Here is a 20,445-nt window from a genome sequence, read left to right on the forward strand (position 1 = left end):
TAAAAATAAGGCAAAACGAACTGCTGACAATCACTCAGCAATATAGTGTCATGAATGTGGAACTGAACTAAGTCTGGGCTGGATATATTAATTAACTGATTGAATATATATCTTCACGTTCTTTATTAATGAACTCCCCCAGACTGACTTGTCAAATAAGTAAACATTTATTGAGCATGTAATACGTGTCAGCTACTTTGCTAAGATACTAGGGACACAGAAAATGACGGCATGGGTTCTGTCTTCCAGAAAGCCCACCTTCTGCTACAGCAGACCTGTCATTAATAGATATATAAAATATAATGTAATAAATCTAATGATGGAAAGAAGCACAGGGGGTATTGTGGGCTGGTAGACGAGAAACCCCAACACAGGCAGAAGGTTGGCTTCCTGTTAGAAAAGATGCTTATGTAAAGTCTTAAAGGCTAAGAGGGAGTTTGCCAAGGTGAGGGTGGGAGGAAATGGAGAAGGAGGGAGAAATGGGTAGACAGAGCAGCATAACCAGACACAACAGGCCGGACACGCTATGGGGGCAGAGGGGAGCTACAAGCAGGTCAGAGCTGCTGGAGTGCAAAGTCAAAGCAAAAAGAGGAGACAGAAAGCACTATGGAGATCAACCTGGTCTTTGTGCCATGGTAAAAGGGTTTGATTTCCACCCCTTGACAAGGAGAAGCCGCTAAAAGGTTTTGAGAAATCAGATGTGCCTGTTTGAAATGTCATTCTGGAATCACAGCAGATGATCTGAAGAGTAGAAACTGGGGAAGCAGGAAGGACACATGAAGGTGAGAGGATAGGTGGCCCTGAATGACATCAGTTGCAGTGGGGATGGAGAGAACGGGGAGAAAGTGAAAACTATCTCAGAGGGAGAATCGCAAAGCACTGACTGCAGATGGGCTTGTTGGAAGACAGAGAGAAGGTAGAACCAATGACGAATCCCAGTTCCTTGCAGGGTTGGTAGGTCTTGAAGCCCACCATGGTTCCCATCTTTGTTTATGCCATTGACAGATTCAGGTGCAGCATTTTACACTGATCTCTGTTCAGCTGACCTCTGCAAACTTTTCACCACTATTCCTACTATGGAGAGCCTCCTGGATCCTGACTCATCCACCCAACAGGTTTCCATGCTGTTGGCTACAGCTGTGGATAAGCTTCATCCAAACCCTTGGCAAGAGTGTTAAAGCAGAGCCAAGGACACTGGCTGGAACCATGAACACCATTCTGGATAGGACCCTGGGTATGTCTAGATGCCAATCAAAATAGTGAGGAACAGAAGAAAAGTTCCATGAGAAAGCAGAAGCCAATGCTGGAAGTGTCACATGGAGAAGAGATGAGCATCCAGAGGCATTATCACTTCCAGGTAGAAGAAGAACCAATCCTTAGGATGATGGTTCCCATGGGGGTCCACGAGAGTCAATGGAGATCATCCGCAGGTTGGGAAACAGTTTAACTAAGGCAGGACTTTTTTACAGTCAGAAATGCCCAAAAGTGGGACAGCCCACACCAGAATAGAGGAAGCAACCTGTCTATAAGAAAACACCACCGACTAGGTGGATAAAACAAGAGACATTTATTTTCCCACTGTCTGTGAGGCCAGAAGTCCAAGATCTTTTGAGGCCGCTCTCTTGACTTGCATATGGCCTCCTTCTCAATGTATGTTCACATGGTCTGTGTTTGGCACATGTCTGTATCCTAATCTCCTCTTTTTTTTAAAGGACACCTGTCATATTAGATTAGGGCCTACACTAATGACCCCATTTTAATCTAATTAAAGACCCTATCTCCAAATACAGTCATATTCTCAGGTACCAGGAATGAGGGCCTCACCATAAGAATTGTGGTGGACATAACTCAATCCATAACACAACCTACCGACAAGGATGTATAACAACTGAGATCTGGTAAATGCTAGGCAGGGGAAGCTGATAGAGAGACTGAAGCATCAGATTTGAGGTGTCCTTTAAGATTGCATTAGGTCTGAGAGTTACAATTCTAAACATGGCAAGACAGCACCTAATCGCTGTCATTAAACATTGTTAACACAATCATCTCCTCAGGGTTTCAGACAAAAATTACATTTTTATGGCAGCTAGAATGATTGATGAGAAATTTTGCTCCTATTTAACCCTTCCCCAAGGAAATACACAGGCAGGCAGTGACAGACCTCAGCCCACACAGCACAGAAGTTGTTCTTACCTATGGAACAGGACGGATTTGACCAGGGTGACGACATCCCGGCTGGCATTGTATCCGGCGCAGACAATAGCAACGTGGATTGTCTGGGAAGAAAAGAAGACGGGGTGAGCAGTCAGACAGACGGAAGGAGGCCTTCCTGGTGCTTCAGATCACACTAGAAAGAAAAATTGCCCTGATTTCTTGTTGGCATCATTAGAAAACAAAGGACACTGTCTGCAGCTGTGGAAAATAACTCAAGACAGTTTTATTAAGGCCTTTTTAATCGGCTTATGGAGCTATTATCATTTGGAAACCATTAAGGCTCCTTCCAATTACATTTTGGGGACAAGAGAGATGGTGATTGGCTCAAATAGGCAAACAGTGAGTCTCCTGTCCTCAAGCTGAGCGACAATGACAATTGGTTAAACAGAGAGGAAAGAAATACATCTTGAAAGTATGAACCAACAATCAGGGATCTCAGACTAAGAAGTTATGGCTCAGAGAGTTAGTGAAATGTTCCCACAAGATGTGTTGGGTTAGGGTCAACCTAATAAAAGGGCCAAAGGGGACACAGGAACACCTCCGCACCCCATCTGGGATACAGTTCAAAGAACGGAAGACTGGCAGAATTGAAGGGAACCCAAGGGGTCATCTCAACTAAGTAGCCAGGAGCATGGGCCTCAGACATGAATCCCTGAACTCAGGGTGACCCTGGGAGTGCTGCAGGGTCCACTGACTCACTGCCATTTAAGCGTCATGACATGTGTCTTGCAGGATGGTGCTAAGGAGTGAGGGAACAATGCCAAGAGGGGAATATGCTGCCCACCACACTACATTCCAATGATACCAAAAAAGGTCCTCCAGAGCTGGGCTTCCCAAATGGAGTGCCCAGGCACCTTAGTGTGCCACGATTGAATTACAGGTGACAAATATACTCATCTGTTTACGCCCTCTAAGCTACTGGGCGGGGCTGGCATCCTCAGGCAACTTTTCTATTTTCCTCCTGCATCATAGCAGTTATCATTTTCTATGTGTGGCACAACTTGAAAAAGATCGGAAAGCACCACTCTAGGGCATCCCCGACGGGACATCATTATCCAGCCTCGGGAAGAATGGAGAGTTCATACTTCCGGATTTTGTCCTTTCTACTGAAGCACAGCCTTCCTTGAATGGAAACCTGCCTCTTAACACCCACTCCAGTTGCATTCTGTCCTGGGCATATTGTAGAACAATGACGTTTCCTCCAGCATTCAATACTTCCATTAAAGGAGGGGACCTGAGAGATGCCTTTTCTTTTCCAGAACTCCTCAGAGCCCTTGCTCCCATGACACGGGCTTCCAGATACCTTGTTATCCCAACCAGCCATGTCAAAATGCAGTTCTGATATCTGGGTCCATCCCATACAGGGTGATGTGACAATGTCCTCTGGTTCCCAGGCCTCCTTCATCACCCCACTGTCTTATATCAGCACGGGAGGCTCGGCCATCAGGGATGAACCATCCCACACCCTCCAATCCACATCCATGACCCATTTAACCCCAATGACCTTCACCCCAACTTGGACACCTATTCCCAGTACGAGAAACTTGACCTTGGCTTCATATAGAATCTAATTTTCTCAGAAATCCTACAATTATGGGCTTGCCACATGAGCAGGACTCAGAGCCTCACATCACTCTACCGCTCCTCTTCCTCTATGGAGGGTCCCTTTGCCGTTGACTGTTAGGCTCCATGCTGGCCCCCACCAGGGCTCATCTGAACCATCACCCCACTCTGCTCTCAGCTCCCGTATGCACTCTACCCCCACATTCAAAATGCAAATCCCCAACCCAGATGGGTGCTACGGTCTCCACCTCTGCTCTTATACCTGCTCCCAAGAAGAAAGAGGAGGGGAGATGCAAGAGAGGAATGAGAAGCATCATGAAAGCTAGTATGTAGTGAGCAAATCATGACATTCCAGGCACTGTGCTTCATATTACCAGATTTCAGGCTCAAAGTTGTATGAGACAGGTACAGTATTATCATTTTAGTATCACAGATCAGGAAACCCAGGCTTAGAGAATTGGGATTTGAATTCTGAAACAGACTGTTTTTGCTTTTTTTTTTTTTTTTGAGCCAGAATCTCACTCTGTCACCTAGGCTGGAATGAAGTGGCACTATCTCAGCTCACTGCAACCTCTGCCCCCCAGGTTCAAGTGATTCTCCTGCCTCAGCCTTCTGAGTAGCTAGGATTACAAGCACCCACTACTACGTCCAGGTAATTTTTGTATTTTTAGTAGAGCTGGTTTTTACCATGTTGGTCAGGCTGGTCTCAAACTCTTGACCTCAAGTGATCCACTCACCTTGACCTCCCAAAGTGCTGAGATTACAGGTATAAGCCATCGCACCCCGCCTAGAATAGATTCTTAACCCTGGTGGTACATCAGAAACAGATTTTTAAGATATATTCTGTGCCCCAGGCCCTCCGTCCTTCAGACCAATAATTCACAGTCCCTGATGCCCAGGATCTTCAAATGCTCTACTGGAAGGCAGTAGTTCTCAACCAGGGACATATTCACCTCCCTATCCTCCAACCCGCAGACATCTGCAATGCCTGGAGACAGTCTTGGTTGTCACTACTTGGTGGGTCTGGGGTGGGGGGCAGGGGGATGCTACTGGCATCTGTGAGTAGAGGCCAGGGATGCTGCTCAGCATCCCACAATGCACAAGACAGCCCCAAAACAAAGACCTGTCCTGCCCCAAAGGTCAAGAGCAGTGCTGTTAGAAAACCCTGTATGAGGGATGAGGGAGCAAAATGAAGCAAAATGAAGCAATGTCAGATCCCTCTGGGTTTTCTGGTACCTTTTTTTCAGGCTAATTTATGCATATTTTAATTTCTCCACCTGTAAAAGAAAGACACCATTGCTTATCTCTGGATAATATCTGTAAAAGACTCAGGATGAAAGATTATAATGCAGATGTAACTGTCACCATTTCAATCATGAGGGAAATGAATAGGAAAACGCCTGCACATGGAAGACATAACTGGGAAGGGGATGAGAATGGGGAAAAACACGCTGAATCAGGCTCTTCAGAATCGCAAATATTTAAACATACAGCCTCAGAGATATCAAACTTTGTCTTGGCTTCAGGGTTCAGAGACTTTTTAAAATGGGCCCATTAAATGTAAGCACAAGCATGCACATTCTTGAACATTTTACATAATTTTCCAATCTCTTTAGTTTCATCGAATACACCTGCCACCATGAATAAATGCATCATCTGGAGGCATAGCAGCAGGGCCCTGCTCCCTGGGAAAGCAGAAAATCACAGTGGCATCGACTATGTTCTTAGAGGAGTTTTGGGTGTTCCAAAATCTGGGGTTACAGAAGTGAACCATGAGTGGGGCAGGGGTTGGAGTGGGAATGGGGAGAGTAGGGAGAAAGATAAACGATCCTTGAAAGAATGGGGTCACAAAAATGGTTTTGTCATGTGACTTTAGGGCTTGAAGCTATTAAGTTCAGTTTTTAAGTTTCTTGGTGTGGTAGATTAAAAATGGTCACAACTATTCAACATTCCTCCTATCAAAGGGTGGGGTCTTGGCTCATGCCTGTGGCTCACTTTGGGAGGCCAAGGTGGGCGGATCATCTAAGGTCAAGAGTTCGAGACCCGCCTGGCCAACATGGTGGCACACACCATCACTGCAGGCTAATTTTGCTGTGCGCGGTGACTCATGCTTGCAATCCCAGCCCTTTGGGAGGCCGAGGCGGCGGATCACCTGAGGTCAAGAGTTCAAGACCAGCCTGGCTAACATGGTGAAACCCCATTTCTACTAAAAATACAAAAAATTAGCCAGGTGTGGTGGCGTGTGCCTATAATCCCAGCTACTCAGGAGGCTGAGGCAGGAGAATCGCTTGAACCTGGGAGGCAGAGGTTGCAGTGAGCTGAGATCTCGCCATTGCACTCCAGCCTGGGCAACAAGAACAAAACTCGGTCTCAAAAAAAAACCCCAAAAAACCGAAAACCAAAAAACAAACAAACAAACAAACCAAAGGGTGGGATCTGAATGTCAGAATCAGTGACCACTGGTCCTTGCACTAGGCCTTCCTGTCTACACCTGAAATTACAGTCATGCTTTGCTTAACAACACAGATATCTTCTGAGTAGCCTATCATCGTTAGGTGACTTTGTCTTCCGAGCAACTTTAGAGTCCACTTACACAACCTTAGATGGTATAGCCTACAACACACATAGGCTATATACTAGAGTCTACTGCTCCTAGGCTACAAACCTGTATACATGATACTACACTGAATCCTGTAGACAACTGTAACACAATGGTGAGTATTTCTATCTCTTAACATAGAAAAAGTACAGTAAAAATATAATATAAGAGAAAAAAATGGTACACCTGTATAGGATACTCATCATGATTACAGTTCACAGAAATCGAAGTAGCTCTGGGTGAGTCAGTGAGTGGTCAAAGAATGTGAAGGCCTAGGACATTATAGTACACTACTGTGTACACTTAGTTTATAAACATGGTACACTTAGACTATACTAAGTTTATAAAAAATATTTTTCTTCAATAAAAAATTAAACTTAGCTTACTGGAACTTTTTTACTTTACAAATTTAAAATTTTTTTTAACTATCTCTTTTTTTTTTTTGAGACGGAGTCTCACTCTGTTGCCCAGGATGGAGTGCAGTGATGTGATCTCGGCTTACTGCAACTTCTGCCTCCCGGGCTCAAGCGATTCTCCTGCCTCAGTCTCCCGAGTAGCTTGGACTACAGGCGCCTGCCACCACGCCCGGCTAATTTTTTTGTATTTTTAGTAGAGACGGGGTTTCACCGTGTTAGCCAGGATGCTCTCAATCTCCTGACCTCGTGATCCACCCGCCTCAGCCTCCCAAAGTGCTGGGATTACAGGCATGAGCCACTGCGCCCAGCCAACTGTCTATTTTTTTTTTTAAGAGATGGGGTCTTGCTATATTGTCCAGGTTAGAGTACAGCGGTTATTCACAGACATGATCACAGAACACGACAGCCTCGAAGTCCTGGGCTCAAGCAATCTTCCCGTCTCAGCTTCCAGAGTAGCTGGGACTATAATTGCACACCACTGTGCCTGGCTCTTAACTTTTTGACTGTTTTATAACAACACATAGCTTGAAACACAAACACATTGTACAGCTGTATGAAAATACTTTATATTCTTATTCTATACGCATTTTTCTGTTTTAAAAATTATTTATTTTTAACTTTTAAAACTTTTTTGTTAAAAACTAAGACATAAACACACACCTTAGCCTAGGCCTACACGGAGTCAGAATCATCAATATCACTGTCTTCCACCTCCTTACCTTGTCCCACTGGAAGGTCCTCAGGGGCATTAACACACATGGAGCTGTCATCTCCTGCGACAGCAAGGCCTTCTGAAATACCTCCTGAAGGACCTGCCTGAGGCTGTTTTACAGTTAACTTTAAAAAAAATAAGTAGAAGGAATACACTAAAATAATGATAGTATGATAAATACATACACTGGTAACACAGCCATTTTCTCTCTAGTATTATTATGTACTGTACATAATTGCGCTATAGTTTTATACAAATGGCAGCGCAGTCGGTTTGTTCACACCAACATCACCAAACACATGAGCGATGTGTTGCACATGATGTTAGGATGGCTATGATGTCACTAGGCAATAGGAATTTTTAGCTCCATTATGATCTGATGGGAGCAGTGTGGTAAATGCAGTCCACTGTTGACAGATATGTCATTATGTAACACATGACTGTATAGACATAACACTCATGTTTCTCTGTCACAAAGTCCAGATGGAGGATGGAATGATGTTCTCGTTTGCCCCTCCAACTCACTCTCTACCCTTCTCCTAACAGTCCTGTGTCTGGAGAGTCTGGCCGTTTGTTTGTTTGTTTTGAGACCGAGTCTCGATCTATCGCCCAGGCTGGAATGCAGTGGTATGATCTCAGCTCTCTCCAACCTCCGTGTCCCAGGTTCAAGCGATTCTCTTGCCTCAGCTTCTCAAGTAGCTGGGACTACAGGCATGCGGCCATCATGCCCAGCTAATATTTGTATTTTTAGTAGAGATGGGGTTTGGCCACGTTGCCCAAGCTGGTCTTGAACTCCTGGCCTCATGTGATCCGCCCACCTCGGCCTCCCAAAGTGCTGGGATTACAGGCATGAGCCACCGTGCCTGGTTGAGTCTGACCTTTGTAGACCACGTTAAGTGGGCTCCTTTTGCCTCTGATTTTGGGTTGAGTTTGGTCATTGGGAGGCACCAGTGGGGGTCTCAGAGGTCAGATTTCCCCGGCTCCTGTCAGGGGCCCAATCACACAAGTTCCAGTCCTTGCTGGGTTTCTTAACACCTTCCTGCCTCTGTGTTGCCTCCCCTCAGCCCTGCCCATACCTCTTGGCCCCTCCTGGAATCATTTCAGCCCCTAAGCATGCAAGCAGTAACTTGCCAGGACCTGACCAACACTGAGGACCTTTCCTCAGCATCTCACTTGTCCTGTTGGCTGGAAAGAAAGCACAGAAGACTTTCAGGCATTCATAGATACTTGCTGATCCCTAAAGGAAACGGCACCAATGTAACAAACTTGAGAATTTATACATTTTATTTATACTTTTTAAAAGCTTTACAAAGCTCTTGAGTAATGAACCATAAAAGCTCTTTCTAAGGCAATGCTAAGGCTTCCACTAATTTCCTGTCATCCTAGACATGGTACCCAGCACACTTTGAATCTTGCAGGCTGTACTTGATGATACAGGTAAGGTAGTGCAGAACTGTGAACTGGGTTCATTCCTGACCCCACTGGGGTCAAGGGATGACCTTGTCTTACAACCTGCAGAAAAGATTCATAACATTGATGTTTTTAGAGTTGCCAGTGTTCCAGGACTGTTCTGGGCTTGGAGGAAATAAAGGTAAATTTTAAGACAATCCCCATTCCCCAAAATCAGGTGTGGAGGCAATTTGATAGTTAACCAGGAGATCCCACAGGAGAATGAGAGGCTCCTACCATGGCAAGCTGGGTGTCTTTGCATCCCAGAGTGGCCAGCATCACCCAGATAAGAGACGATGCAGGGAGAGCATCTTGGAGGAGAAGGCATTTCAGTGACCACACAAGAGCAACCAGTGATATTAGGGCCAGCCTGGACTTGTGACTCTTTGCTTGTCAGCCTCCATGAAAACCTGAAACATAAAGTTCTCCATGCTCTGCCTCCCAGCAGGAAAGAATCCTCAGGGAGCAGTTTTTCACAGATAAATATGGGGAAAAAAATCATTGTCCCAAAAGAAATTCACACCAAACTAAGGGATGCCAGGCAAGCTGTGGCCCTGGCAGAACTCTTCAACACCCTGCCAGCCCTGCTTCTCTTGCCCACAGGGCCTGGTGCTCCCTTCAGCCCATTCTGCCTGGGGGCACGATTCAGTTAAGCATCTCCTATCAGACAGACTGAGAGAGTGAGAGGCGAAACCCATTTCAACTTGGGCATCAGGTGTGCTATGGAAAGACAGGCTCAGCACAGATTCTGGATGGTAGCTGCAGACTTTTGGTGGGGTTGAGGGGGACAGGCAAGACCTCCCAGAGGACAGATGCTCTGACAGCTGCGGAGAAGCGAACAGCCGGGGTCAGACAGGCAGCAGCGAGGGTCAGAGGCAGGGGCAACGTAGTGTGCAAATCCCACAACAAGAGCAGAGAGACCTCGATTGGAGCCACAAGCTCGAAGCTAAGTGGCCGCGTGATCTTGGAAGAGTTATTTAGTGTCCCTGAGCTTCACTCGCCTCATCCGTAAAACGGAGATAAAAACAGCTACCGATTGGGTTGTGTCAGGATCAAACAAATGAGTGCAAGAAAGTGCCCCTAATAAATCAATGCTTATTAATGTTTCCTGAATGAATAAACAGCACAAGACACTGTTCAGAGTCCTCCTTCTTTGACTTCATCCTCTGTATAATGGGGGACATAATCTTAAAGTGCTTGTTAAGGACATGGAGTAAGTGGCTCTCCAACTCCAGTATGCATCAGAATCACCTGGAGGGGCTTGTTACAACAGAGTGCGGACTCCTCCCCAGTTTCTGATCCAGGATCTCTGGAGTGGAGCCTGAGAATAGTCTGCATCCAGGCGACACTGCTGCTGCCGGCCCAGGGACCATACTTTGAGAACCGCTGCTCTAGCAGAAGCACTTGGAAGAGACTCTATAGTAAAAACTCAACACATGTTAACTGTGATTATTTTGAGAGAGTACGAGGGCGTGCAAATAATCTATTTCCAATTCCTCTCAAGTAGAGAGCACCACTTTTCTTCACTTGGACAAGACAAGGAAAGGCTGCATTCTTCTTTCAGCTACCACCACATGTCCCGAGGCCTTGGAATTTGTTACTCTTTCAGGGTGAGAAAAAATGGAAAGAGATGAGAATGGGTATAGGCTTCTACTGCAAAAAAAATTTCAAAATAATAATAATAATAATAATAATAATAAAAACCCCTGGAAATCCAGAGAGCTGGATGCTGGTTCCAGTTTGTAATGGCAGACAGACCTGACAGCAATAACCTAGGCAATTCCTGAGAATGACCCTATGGTCCAAGAAGGATGTGTGTTTGGAGTTCTGAGCTAAGAATCCCGGGCCAAGCATGGTGCTCACGCCTGTAATCCCAGCACTTTGGGAGGCTGAGGCGGGTGGATCACAGGTCAGACCAGCCTGGCCAACATGGTGAAACCATTTCTACTAAAAAAAATACAAAAATTAGCCAGGCGCAGTGGCGGGCACCTGTAATCCCAGTTACTCGGGAAGCTGAGGCAGGAGAATCACTTGAACCCGGGAGGTGGGGGCTGCAGTGAGCCGAGATCGCACCACTGCACTCTAGCCTGGGTGACAGAGCAAGACTCCATCTCCAAAAAAAAAAAAAGAAAAAGAATCCCACAGTGGCCAATCTGGAGATTCACTCCTTATCTATGAAGGAATCTGAACCCCTGGCCCATTCCCTGGAATGCAGACCGTACAGGGGATCGAGGCCCTTTATTTTTGGTTAAGTGATGGTTGCAGGGTGGAGACTGCTAAGTGAAAACATGATATCAACTGCATGCTTTTTACAAATGGTAGCAGTTCTGCTGTTCAGCCTGCGGTCACTGGTCCACCCCTGTATGTAAGTTCTCCATAAACCCTGTCTCATTCACTGGCTCTGAGTCTCTTCTTCAACCTCTCAGACACGGTGTTGTCCTTACTGGAGTCAAAAGGGGTCCAGTATGACACAGTTGTGCCAGCTAAGTGATTTGGGGCAAATTATCTAACCTCTTGGATCCTCAGCCACTGCCTCTATCAAACAAGGGATTTAGAATTTCTATACAGCATTTTCCTAACATCCAGGTTTTTCCCAAATTCAAGCTGAAGAAGGTGAGACACAGAGTGGTTAAGTAACTTGCCCAAGGTCCGAGGGCTCAGCTAGTCTGTGACAAAGTGACGGGTTGAATTCAGGGTCCTGCTTTTAAGCCCACAGTAATGGCCTCAATAAAACACATATGTACCTATTAACATTTTTAAAACATATGGCAAATGTACCCTCTCAAATCATGTTACAAACCTCCAGGATTTGGGAAACCACTCATCTAAATCTGTCCACTCTAAATGCTGAACCATGGATGCAAAGACAAAGTTATTTCAACTATGCAGAAAACAGAAGTAGATGCACCACCTGGCTTTGTAAGCCAAGCCTTCAGGGCTCAGCGAGGAACAGGTGTGACCACATGGGTTCCAGGGCCTGCTGTGAGAACAAGGAGTCTCTTGGTGTCCCCTCCACGGCAAGGCACATAAATGGATGATGAATGAATGAAGCATCCAGGATTTTCTATCCTGCATATCCCAGTCTGCTTTAGGATTGACTTTCTTGTGCTATAAAGAGCATAGCCACCTGAGAAATCAGAAACCCAAATTTTACACAGAAAACATTAAAGGATGAGACCGATTTTGGGGTGGGTCAAGAGAATTGTAATCAATACAGGGAGATCATATCTGGGGTAGGTGGGTTATCTAACAACACCCCAATACTGATCCATCATGGGGGCCTCTGGAAGACTGGCCTGGTCCAAAAAGTCCACACACATTAGCCAGACAATCACTCAACAATGATCAGTGTAGCGCCATGTTATGGTCATGCTAGATGACTCATCAAGCTTTCTTGTTTTTAGAATGTGCCTTCATTCTAGATTGCTCTGACCCTTCACCTCACCTATCAAACTCTTCCCCACATTTCAAGACGTAACTCCACCTCTTGGGACCTCAGATTCCTCATCTATAAAGAGGAGTAATAAATGTGTCAACTATTTATTTCAGGGTCTTGCTCCGTCACCCAGGCTGGAGTGCAGTGGCACAATCATGGCTCACTGCAGCCTCAAATTCCTGGGCTCAAGCGATCCTCTCACCTCAGCTTCCTAAGTAGCTGGGATTACAGGTGTTCTCCACCATGCCCAGCTAAGTTTTGTATTTTTTTTTTGGAGAGATGGGGTCTCGCTATGTTGCCCAGGCTGGTCTTGAACTCCTGTGCTCAAGTAATCCTTCCACTTCGGCCTCCTAAGGTGCTGGGATTACAGGCATGAGCCACCATGCCCAGCCCCATGTCAACTAACTGTTGGGCAAATTAACTGAGATGACTCGCGTAAAGGGATTAGAGCCTGGTACCTTGTAAGTAATGGGTATGTATCAGCAATCATCAATAATAATAACAATTATAGTTTATTCTAAGCTGAACGTTCTATATCTAAGGTCTGAGCCCCAAATTTCCTCAAATGTCAGCCATCAAGTTCTTTTCTTCTTCTCTCACTCTTTCCTCTACCTTCAAGTAAGGTTAGGATAGTATTTTTCCCATCATTGAAAGGAAGGTCTTCAAGGTGCCCAATTCCCTCTGTTCCATCAAATGCTGACACTGCCTTGTCACCTCTCCCCAGATAACAGGGTAAAAGACACAGGAATGAGGAGGTGAGACACTTGACTCATCATCTGGGCTGTGGCTGCAACTTTGTAACCTGAGGCAAGACCCTTTCATCATTTTTAAAATGAGAGAGTTGCATCTTTATTTGTTGTTGTCATTCTCAGTGGCACAATTTCTAAAATAAGTTTTACAAAAAAGCAGAATATGCAACAAGAGAAGGCTACTCTGAGGCCAGCACAGACAGGGGGCTGGCAGAGATATGGTCCCTTGCCTTGGCCATGGTGTGGTAGCCAGCCTCCAAGACTGTCTCCAAAGATCCCTTCCCCCTGGTTTTCATGCCGTGTAGCCTCTCCTATACTGTGTCAGAGCCGGGCTGTATGACCAATGGAATTCAGCAGAAGTAATGGTATAAGACATCCGAGGCTAGGTTATAAAAGTCGTTGTAGCTTTTTACTTCTTCTGTTTAAACTGCTTACCCTGGGAAAAGCTAGCTGATATGTTATGAGAACACTTGAACAGTCCTAAGGAAATGAGAATTCCAATCATGTCAGTAAACTATATGGTTACAGAGTCTTCAGCCCCAATCAAACCTTCAGATGACTGCAACCCCTGATGTCATCTTAATTGTAATCTCTTTAAAGGTTGAGAGTCATAATCCCCAACCAAGCTGCTCCCAGATTCCTAATTTTCAGAAACTGTATGAGATAATAAATGCTTGACATTTTAAGTTGTTAAGTTTTGAGGGTACCTGGCTATGTAGCAATAAGTAACTAACATATACAGGGAGGGTACCTAAGGTGCCCTGAAAATCACTGCACGTGACAATACCACCAGGTTCCTTCCAGCTATAACATCCCCTAATTTCAGGGCCTGAAATTTAAAGAGGACATTTTTATTTTTGTGGATTTACATCCTTGAAGAAGCCCCAAAGAAGGCCTATGAAGCTAATAAAATGTGTGTCTAAATGCTATGATAGTATCCTCCAACAGCAATGTGGGATATGGAAAGATAGCTGGCAAACGCCTTCACTGCTGGGTTATTATGTAAAGTCCATGAAGATACAATAGAAAAAGTGCATTAAAATACTGTAAGGTTAGTTAGGACCCAGAATATAGGTGAGACGCATCAAGTTTTATAAACATGTTGCCTCCAGCAAAATGCAAACGCCCCACTAAGCTAATAAATACATCCATAGTCTGGAGAATAATTTAAAACATTTCAGCTTCTTTTAGAAGAACAGACAGATCTTTGCCTAAACTCACTGAGGAACGATTACCTCATGGGGCTGCTAAAGCCCCCAAGGTGAAAGATGATCCCCATATAATGACTGGTAACCCTAAAGTCTGCAGAGGTGAGGCCCCTGTGAAGCACACAATAAGGATCTGGGCTCAGCAGCTGATGAGAGTCTGGGTCCCACAAGCTCTAATTCACAGAGCTTCAGTGCAATGGTTCAAAGAACAGGTTCTAGAATCAAACTGCCTAGGTTTAATCCCAAGCTCTACCTCTTTCTGGCTGTGTGACCTTGAAATAATTATAAAACCTTTCCTAGCAGTTTTCTTATCTGTCAAATGAAGGTAAATATGTTGTGTGAATTACATGAGATATTTTATGTAAAGCTCTAGCATGATGTCTGGTACATTTCAAGGACTGATTAACGGTTATTAACTATAATACATTACTACTGAGAAATGAAGTTCAAAGCAAGGAGCAGAAGGAAAAATGAGTACTTCCTTAAGGAGTGGTCTGGCATCAGAGGATAACATTCATTCACTTTCCATAATAACAATATCCATTGTGGCAGTTCTTAAGTACATCCACAAATGCCTAGACGTTCCTCTCATTGAGAGATGGGTATGTGCTGAGTGGGCTTTTGTGACCATTTCAACTAACAGAATCCACTATCAGCAGATGTGACACTGTGTGGCTTCTGAGGCCAGGTCATGAAAAGTGCTTCCTTTCTGCCTTGCTTACGGGAATACTTGTACTTAAAGCCTTTAGCTGCCATGTAAGCAGCTGACTGCCTAGAGCTGCCATGCTGTGAGGAAGCTCAAACTAGCCCATGCAGAGACCACATGAGGACCTGAGTCTAAAAGAAAGGGAGGTTGGGTCAGCACCCACTCTTCCAGCATTGTACTGTTCCAGCTCCAGCCACACACTAATGCCACCTGTATGAGGGACCCCATACCAGAACCACTCAGCTAAGTCCTTCTCAAATCTCTGACCCACAGAAACCATGACAGCTAATAAAATAACTGGTGCTGTTTCAGATTATTTAAGTGTTAGGTGATTTTTCAGGTACCAGTGGAGAAGTTGAATATTCATAATGAGTATATGTGACACTCATGCATAGTTAGCTTCCCCTGCCTCCACCTCATTTCATCCTCACAATTGCACTGGGAAGAACATGTTATTATTTCCATTTTATAATGATGAAATAGACTCCCAAAAGGTAACTGAATTGTCTAAGGTCACAAGACTAATGAGTAGCAAAGGAAAGTCTCCTGTTCAGGAATTCTGATACCAGTTCCAGTGACTGTTTTTTCTTCCGTACAATAGCTGAGTCCCAGAATAGACCTGAACCGGAAAGGCAAGAAAAATACACACATCCATACACACATGTGCATGAGTGAAGATCAAAGGGGATCGTTCTGCTCCAACTTCTGAGGCACACAGAGGCCAGGCCATCACTGAAACAGCACTGCACAGGCAACAGAAATATGCAAGAATAAGACAGGCAGCTATTTGAAAGACACATAATTACCAAATGATAAGAGGGCAAAGGGACTGATGAGGGCCCGTTGTTCCTATCACCAGATAGCTCAGCTGACAGCCTTGGCATATTGATAGAGGAGTTTTCAGAAATGCTTTTCGGAGCCCAGAGAAGTTTCCGCAACACCCACAGATGGTGGCAGCATCTCTGGTTACGTGGCCCTGCACCGTGACAGGATGTCAAGATGAGCTTCAGCACTTGGAACCAAAAAGCGCTGTGATGAAGGGAGTTTCTATTTTGACTCTACTGACTGACATTTCTTGTCTGCCTCTATGGCTTTTTCGTTAAAATCCTTAAAGACACCAAATGAGGGAGTGAGAGGAAGTGCACTGCTCATGGGTAGGAGGCCAGCACCTTGTGGAGAGTGTGCTTTGAAATATGACTGTAGCAGGCCAAGACTTTTAAGTGCATCTATTGGAGGTTCTGAACAGGACCAGGGGTTCCTCATAGAAGAATTCTACCAAAAATAACTTTTTAAGAATCTAAGAAGTTAACATGATCAGTAAACACAAAGAAAGAGAAGAAGAACAAAACCTAATTCTCAAGTGCAAAAGACTAGAAAATAAGTTATACCGAAAGTCAACATGGCAGTTCAGGCAGACACCCAGCTAGCTGCAGGAGTTTTTTTTTCATACACCAGTAGCAGCTGGAATCCCAGTGAGACAGAATCGTTCACTCCCCTGGAAAGGGGGCTGAAGCCAGGGAGCCAAGTGGTCTCACTCAGCTGGTCCCACTCCCACAGAGCCCAGCAAGCTAAGAAACACTGGCTTGAAATTCTCCCCACCAGCACAGCAGTCTGAAGTCTAGCTGGGATGATTGAGCTTGGTGGAGAAAGGGGCGTCCACCATACTGAGGCCTGAGTATGCGGTTTTCCCCTCACAGTGTTAATTGACTGTGCAGAACTCATGACGGCATGGCAAAGCACCTGGGGCCAGACTGTCTCTCTAGATTCCTCCTCACTGGGCAGGACACCTCTGAAAGAAAGGCAGCAGCTCCAGTCAGGGGCTTATAGATAAAACTCCCATCTCCGTGAGACAGAGCACCTGGGGCAAAAGGTGGCTGTGGGCACAGCTTCAGCGGACTTAAACATTCCTGCCTGCTGGCTCTGAAGAGAGCAGCCCATCTCCCAGCACAGCACTCAAGCTCTGCTAAGGGATAGACTCCGCCTCCTCAAGTGGGTCCCTGACTCCTGTGCCTCCTGATTGGGAGACACCTCAAACAGGAGAGCTCCGGCTGGCAACGGGCGGGTGCCCCTCTGGGACAAAGCTTCCAGAGGAAGGAGCAGGCAGCAATCTTTGTTGTTCTGAAGCCTCCGCTGGTGATACCCAGGCAAACAGGGTATGGAGTGGACCTCCACCAAACTCCAGCAGACCTGCAGAAGAGGGGCCTGTTAGAAGGAAAACTAACAAACATAAAGCAATAACATCAACATCAACAAATAGGATGCCCACAAAAAAGGCCATCAGCATCCAAGATCAAAGGTAGATAAATCTACGAAGATGAAGAAAAACCACTGCAAAAATGCTGAAAATAACAAAAACCAGAATGCCTCTTCTCCCCCAAATGATCGCAACTCCTCTCCAGCAAGGGCACAAAACTGGATGGAGAATGAGTTTGACCAATTGACAGAAGTAGGCTTCAGAAGCTGGGTAATAACAAACTCCTCTGAGCTAAAGGAGCATGTTCTAACCCAATGCAAGGAAGTGAAGAACCTTGAAAAAAGGTTACAGGAAATGCTAACTAAAATAACCAGTTTAGAGAAGAAGAACATCAATGACCTGATGGAGCTGAAAAACACAGCACGAGAACTTTGTGAAGCATACACAAGTATCGATAGCCGAATCAATCAAACAGAAGGATATCAGAGATTGAAGATCAACTTAATGAAATAAAGTGTGAAGACAAGATTAAAGGAAAAAAAATGAAAAGTAATGAACAAAGCCTCCAAGAAATATGGGACTATGTGAAAAGAACAAACCTACATTTTATTGGTGTACCTGAAAGTGACCGAGAGAATGGAACCAAGTTGGAAAACACTCTTCAGGATATTATCCAGGAGAACTTCCCCAACCTAGCAAGACAGGCTAACATTCAAATTCAGGAAATACAGAGAACACCACAAAGATAGTCTTCCAGAAAGGCAACCCCAAGACACATAATCGTCAGATTCTCCAGGTTTGAAACAAAGGAAATAATGTTAAGGGCATCCAGAAAGAAAGGTCAGGCTACCTATGGAGGGAAGCCCATCACACTAACAGCAGATCAATATGCTGAAACCCTACAAGCCAGAATAGAATAGGGATCAATATTCAACATTCTTAAAGAAAAGAATTTTCAAACCAGAATTTCATATCCAGCCAAACTGTGTTTCATAAGCAAAGGAGAAATAAAATCCTTTACAGACAAGCAAATCCTCCTGAAGGATTTTGTCACCACTAGGCCTGCCTTATAAGAGCTTCTGAAGGAAGCACTAAATATGGAAAGGAAAAACTAGCACCAGCCACTGCAAAAACATACCAAATTATAAAGATCAATGACATTATGAAGAAACTGCATCAACTAATGTGCAAAATAACCAGCTAGCATCATGATGACAGGATCAAATTCACACATAACAATATTAACCTTAAATGTAAATGGGCTAAATGCCTCAGTTAAAAGACACAGACTGGCAAATTGGATAGAGTCAAGACCCATCAGTGTGCTGTATTCAGGAGACCCATCTCATGTGCAAAGATACACATAAGCTCAAAATAAAGAAATGGAGGAATATTTACCAAGCAAATGGAAAGCAAAAAAAAAAAAAAAAAAAAAAAAAGGCAGGAGATGCAATCCTAGTCTCTGATAAAACACACTTTAAATCAACAAAGACCAAAAGAGACAAAGAAGTGCATTACATAATGGTAAAGGGATCAATGTAACATGAAGAGCTAACTATCCTAAATATATACACACCCAATACTGGAGCACCCAGATTCATTAAGTTCTTAGATATCTACAAAGAGACTTAGACTCCCACACAATAATAGTGGGAGACTTTAATACCCCATTGTCAGTATTAGACAGATCAATGAGCAGAAAATTAACAAGAATATTCAGGACTTGAACTCAGCTCTGGACCAAGTGGACTTAATAAATATCTACGGAACTCCCCACCCCAAATCAACAGAATATACATTCTGCCCAGCACCATAAAGCACTTATTCTAAAATCGACCACATAATTGGAAATAAAACACTCCTCAGCAAATGCAAAGAACAGAAATCATAACAAACAGTCTCTCAGACCACAGTGCAATCAAATTAGAGCTCAGGATTAAGAAACTCACTCAAAACTGCACAACTACATGGAAACTGAACAACATGCTCCTGAATGACTACTGGGTAAATAACAAAATTAAGGCAGAAATAAATAAGTTCTCTGAAACCAATGAGAACAAAGACACAACATACCAGAATCTCTGGAAGACAGCTAAAGCAGTGTTTATAGGGAAATTTATAGCACTAAATGCCCACAACAGAAAGCAGGAAAGATCTAAAATTGACACCCTAACAACTAGAGAAGCAAGAGCAAACAAATTCAAAACCTAGCAGAAGACAAGAAATAACTAAGATCAGAGCAGAAACAAATGGAAAAACATTCCATGCTCATGGATGAAGGAGATAGAGACACAAAAAACCCTTCAAAAAAATCAGTGAATCCAGGAGTTGGTCTTTTGAAAAGATTAACAAAATATATAGGCCACTAGCTAGACTAATAAAGAAGAAAAAGGAGAAGAACAAATAGACACAGTAAAAGATGATAAAGGGGACATCACCACTGATTCCACAGAAATACAAACTACCATCAGAGAATACTGTAAACATCTCTACACAAATAAACTAGGAAATCTAGAAGAAATGGATAAATTCCTGGACATATACATCCTCCCAAGACTAAACCAGGAAGAAATCGAATCCCTGAATAGACCAATAACAAGTTCTGAAATTGAGGCAGTAATTAATAGCCTACCAACCAAAAAAAGCCCAGGACCAGATGGATTCACAGCCAAATCTTACCAGAGGTACAAAGAGGAGCTGGTGCCATTCCTTCTGAAACTATTCCAAAAATAAAAAAAGAGGGATTCCTCCCTAACTCATTTTATGAGGCCAGCATCACCCTAACACCAAAACCTGGCAGAGACACAACAAAAAAAGAAAATTTCAGGCCAATATCCCTGATGAACATCAATGTGAAAATCCTCGGTAAAATACCGGCAAACCGAATCCAGCAGCACATTAAAAAGCTTATCCACCACTATCAAGTTGGATTCATCCCTGGGATGCAAGGCTGGTTCAACACACGCAAATCAATAAATGTAATCCATTACATAAACAGAACCAATGACAAAAACCACATGATTATATCAATAGATGCAGAGAAGGTCTTCGATAAAATTCAACACCTCTTCATGCTAAAAACACTCAATAAACTAGGTTTTGATGGAACAAATCTCAAAATAACAAGAGCTATTTATGACAAACCCACAGCCAATATCATACTGAATGGGCAAAAGCTGGAAGCATTCCCTTTGAAAAC

General features: G+C 44.1%; 1 protein-coding gene across 22 annotated transcripts in view; it reads right to left on the bottom strand.

Annotated features, from left to right (window-relative positions):
* The window catches only part of LARGE1 (LARGE xylosyl- and glucuronyltransferase 1), an 856,162-nt gene that overhangs the window by 557,388 nt on the left and 278,329 nt on the right, over window positions 1-20,445 (bottom strand). For all 22 annotated transcript variants that reach the window (XR_007067993.1, XR_002958722.2, XR_007067994.1 and 19 more), the window contains one exon: window positions 2,194-2,276. Coding sequence is in view for 19 of the 22 variants with exons in the window: in XM_024452302.2 (XP_024308070.1) it covers window positions 2,194-2,276 (83 nt within the window). In the remaining 3 variants the exon portion in view is untranslated. The remainder of the gene's footprint in view (window positions 1-2,193; window positions 2,277-20,445) is intronic.

The sequence above is a fragment of the Homo sapiens genome, chromosome 22 (assembly GCF_000001405.40).
Source record: "Homo sapiens chromosome 22, GRCh38.p14 Primary Assembly".
NCBI classification, from domain to species: Eukaryota; Metazoa; Chordata; class Mammalia; order Primates; family Hominidae; genus Homo; species Homo sapiens.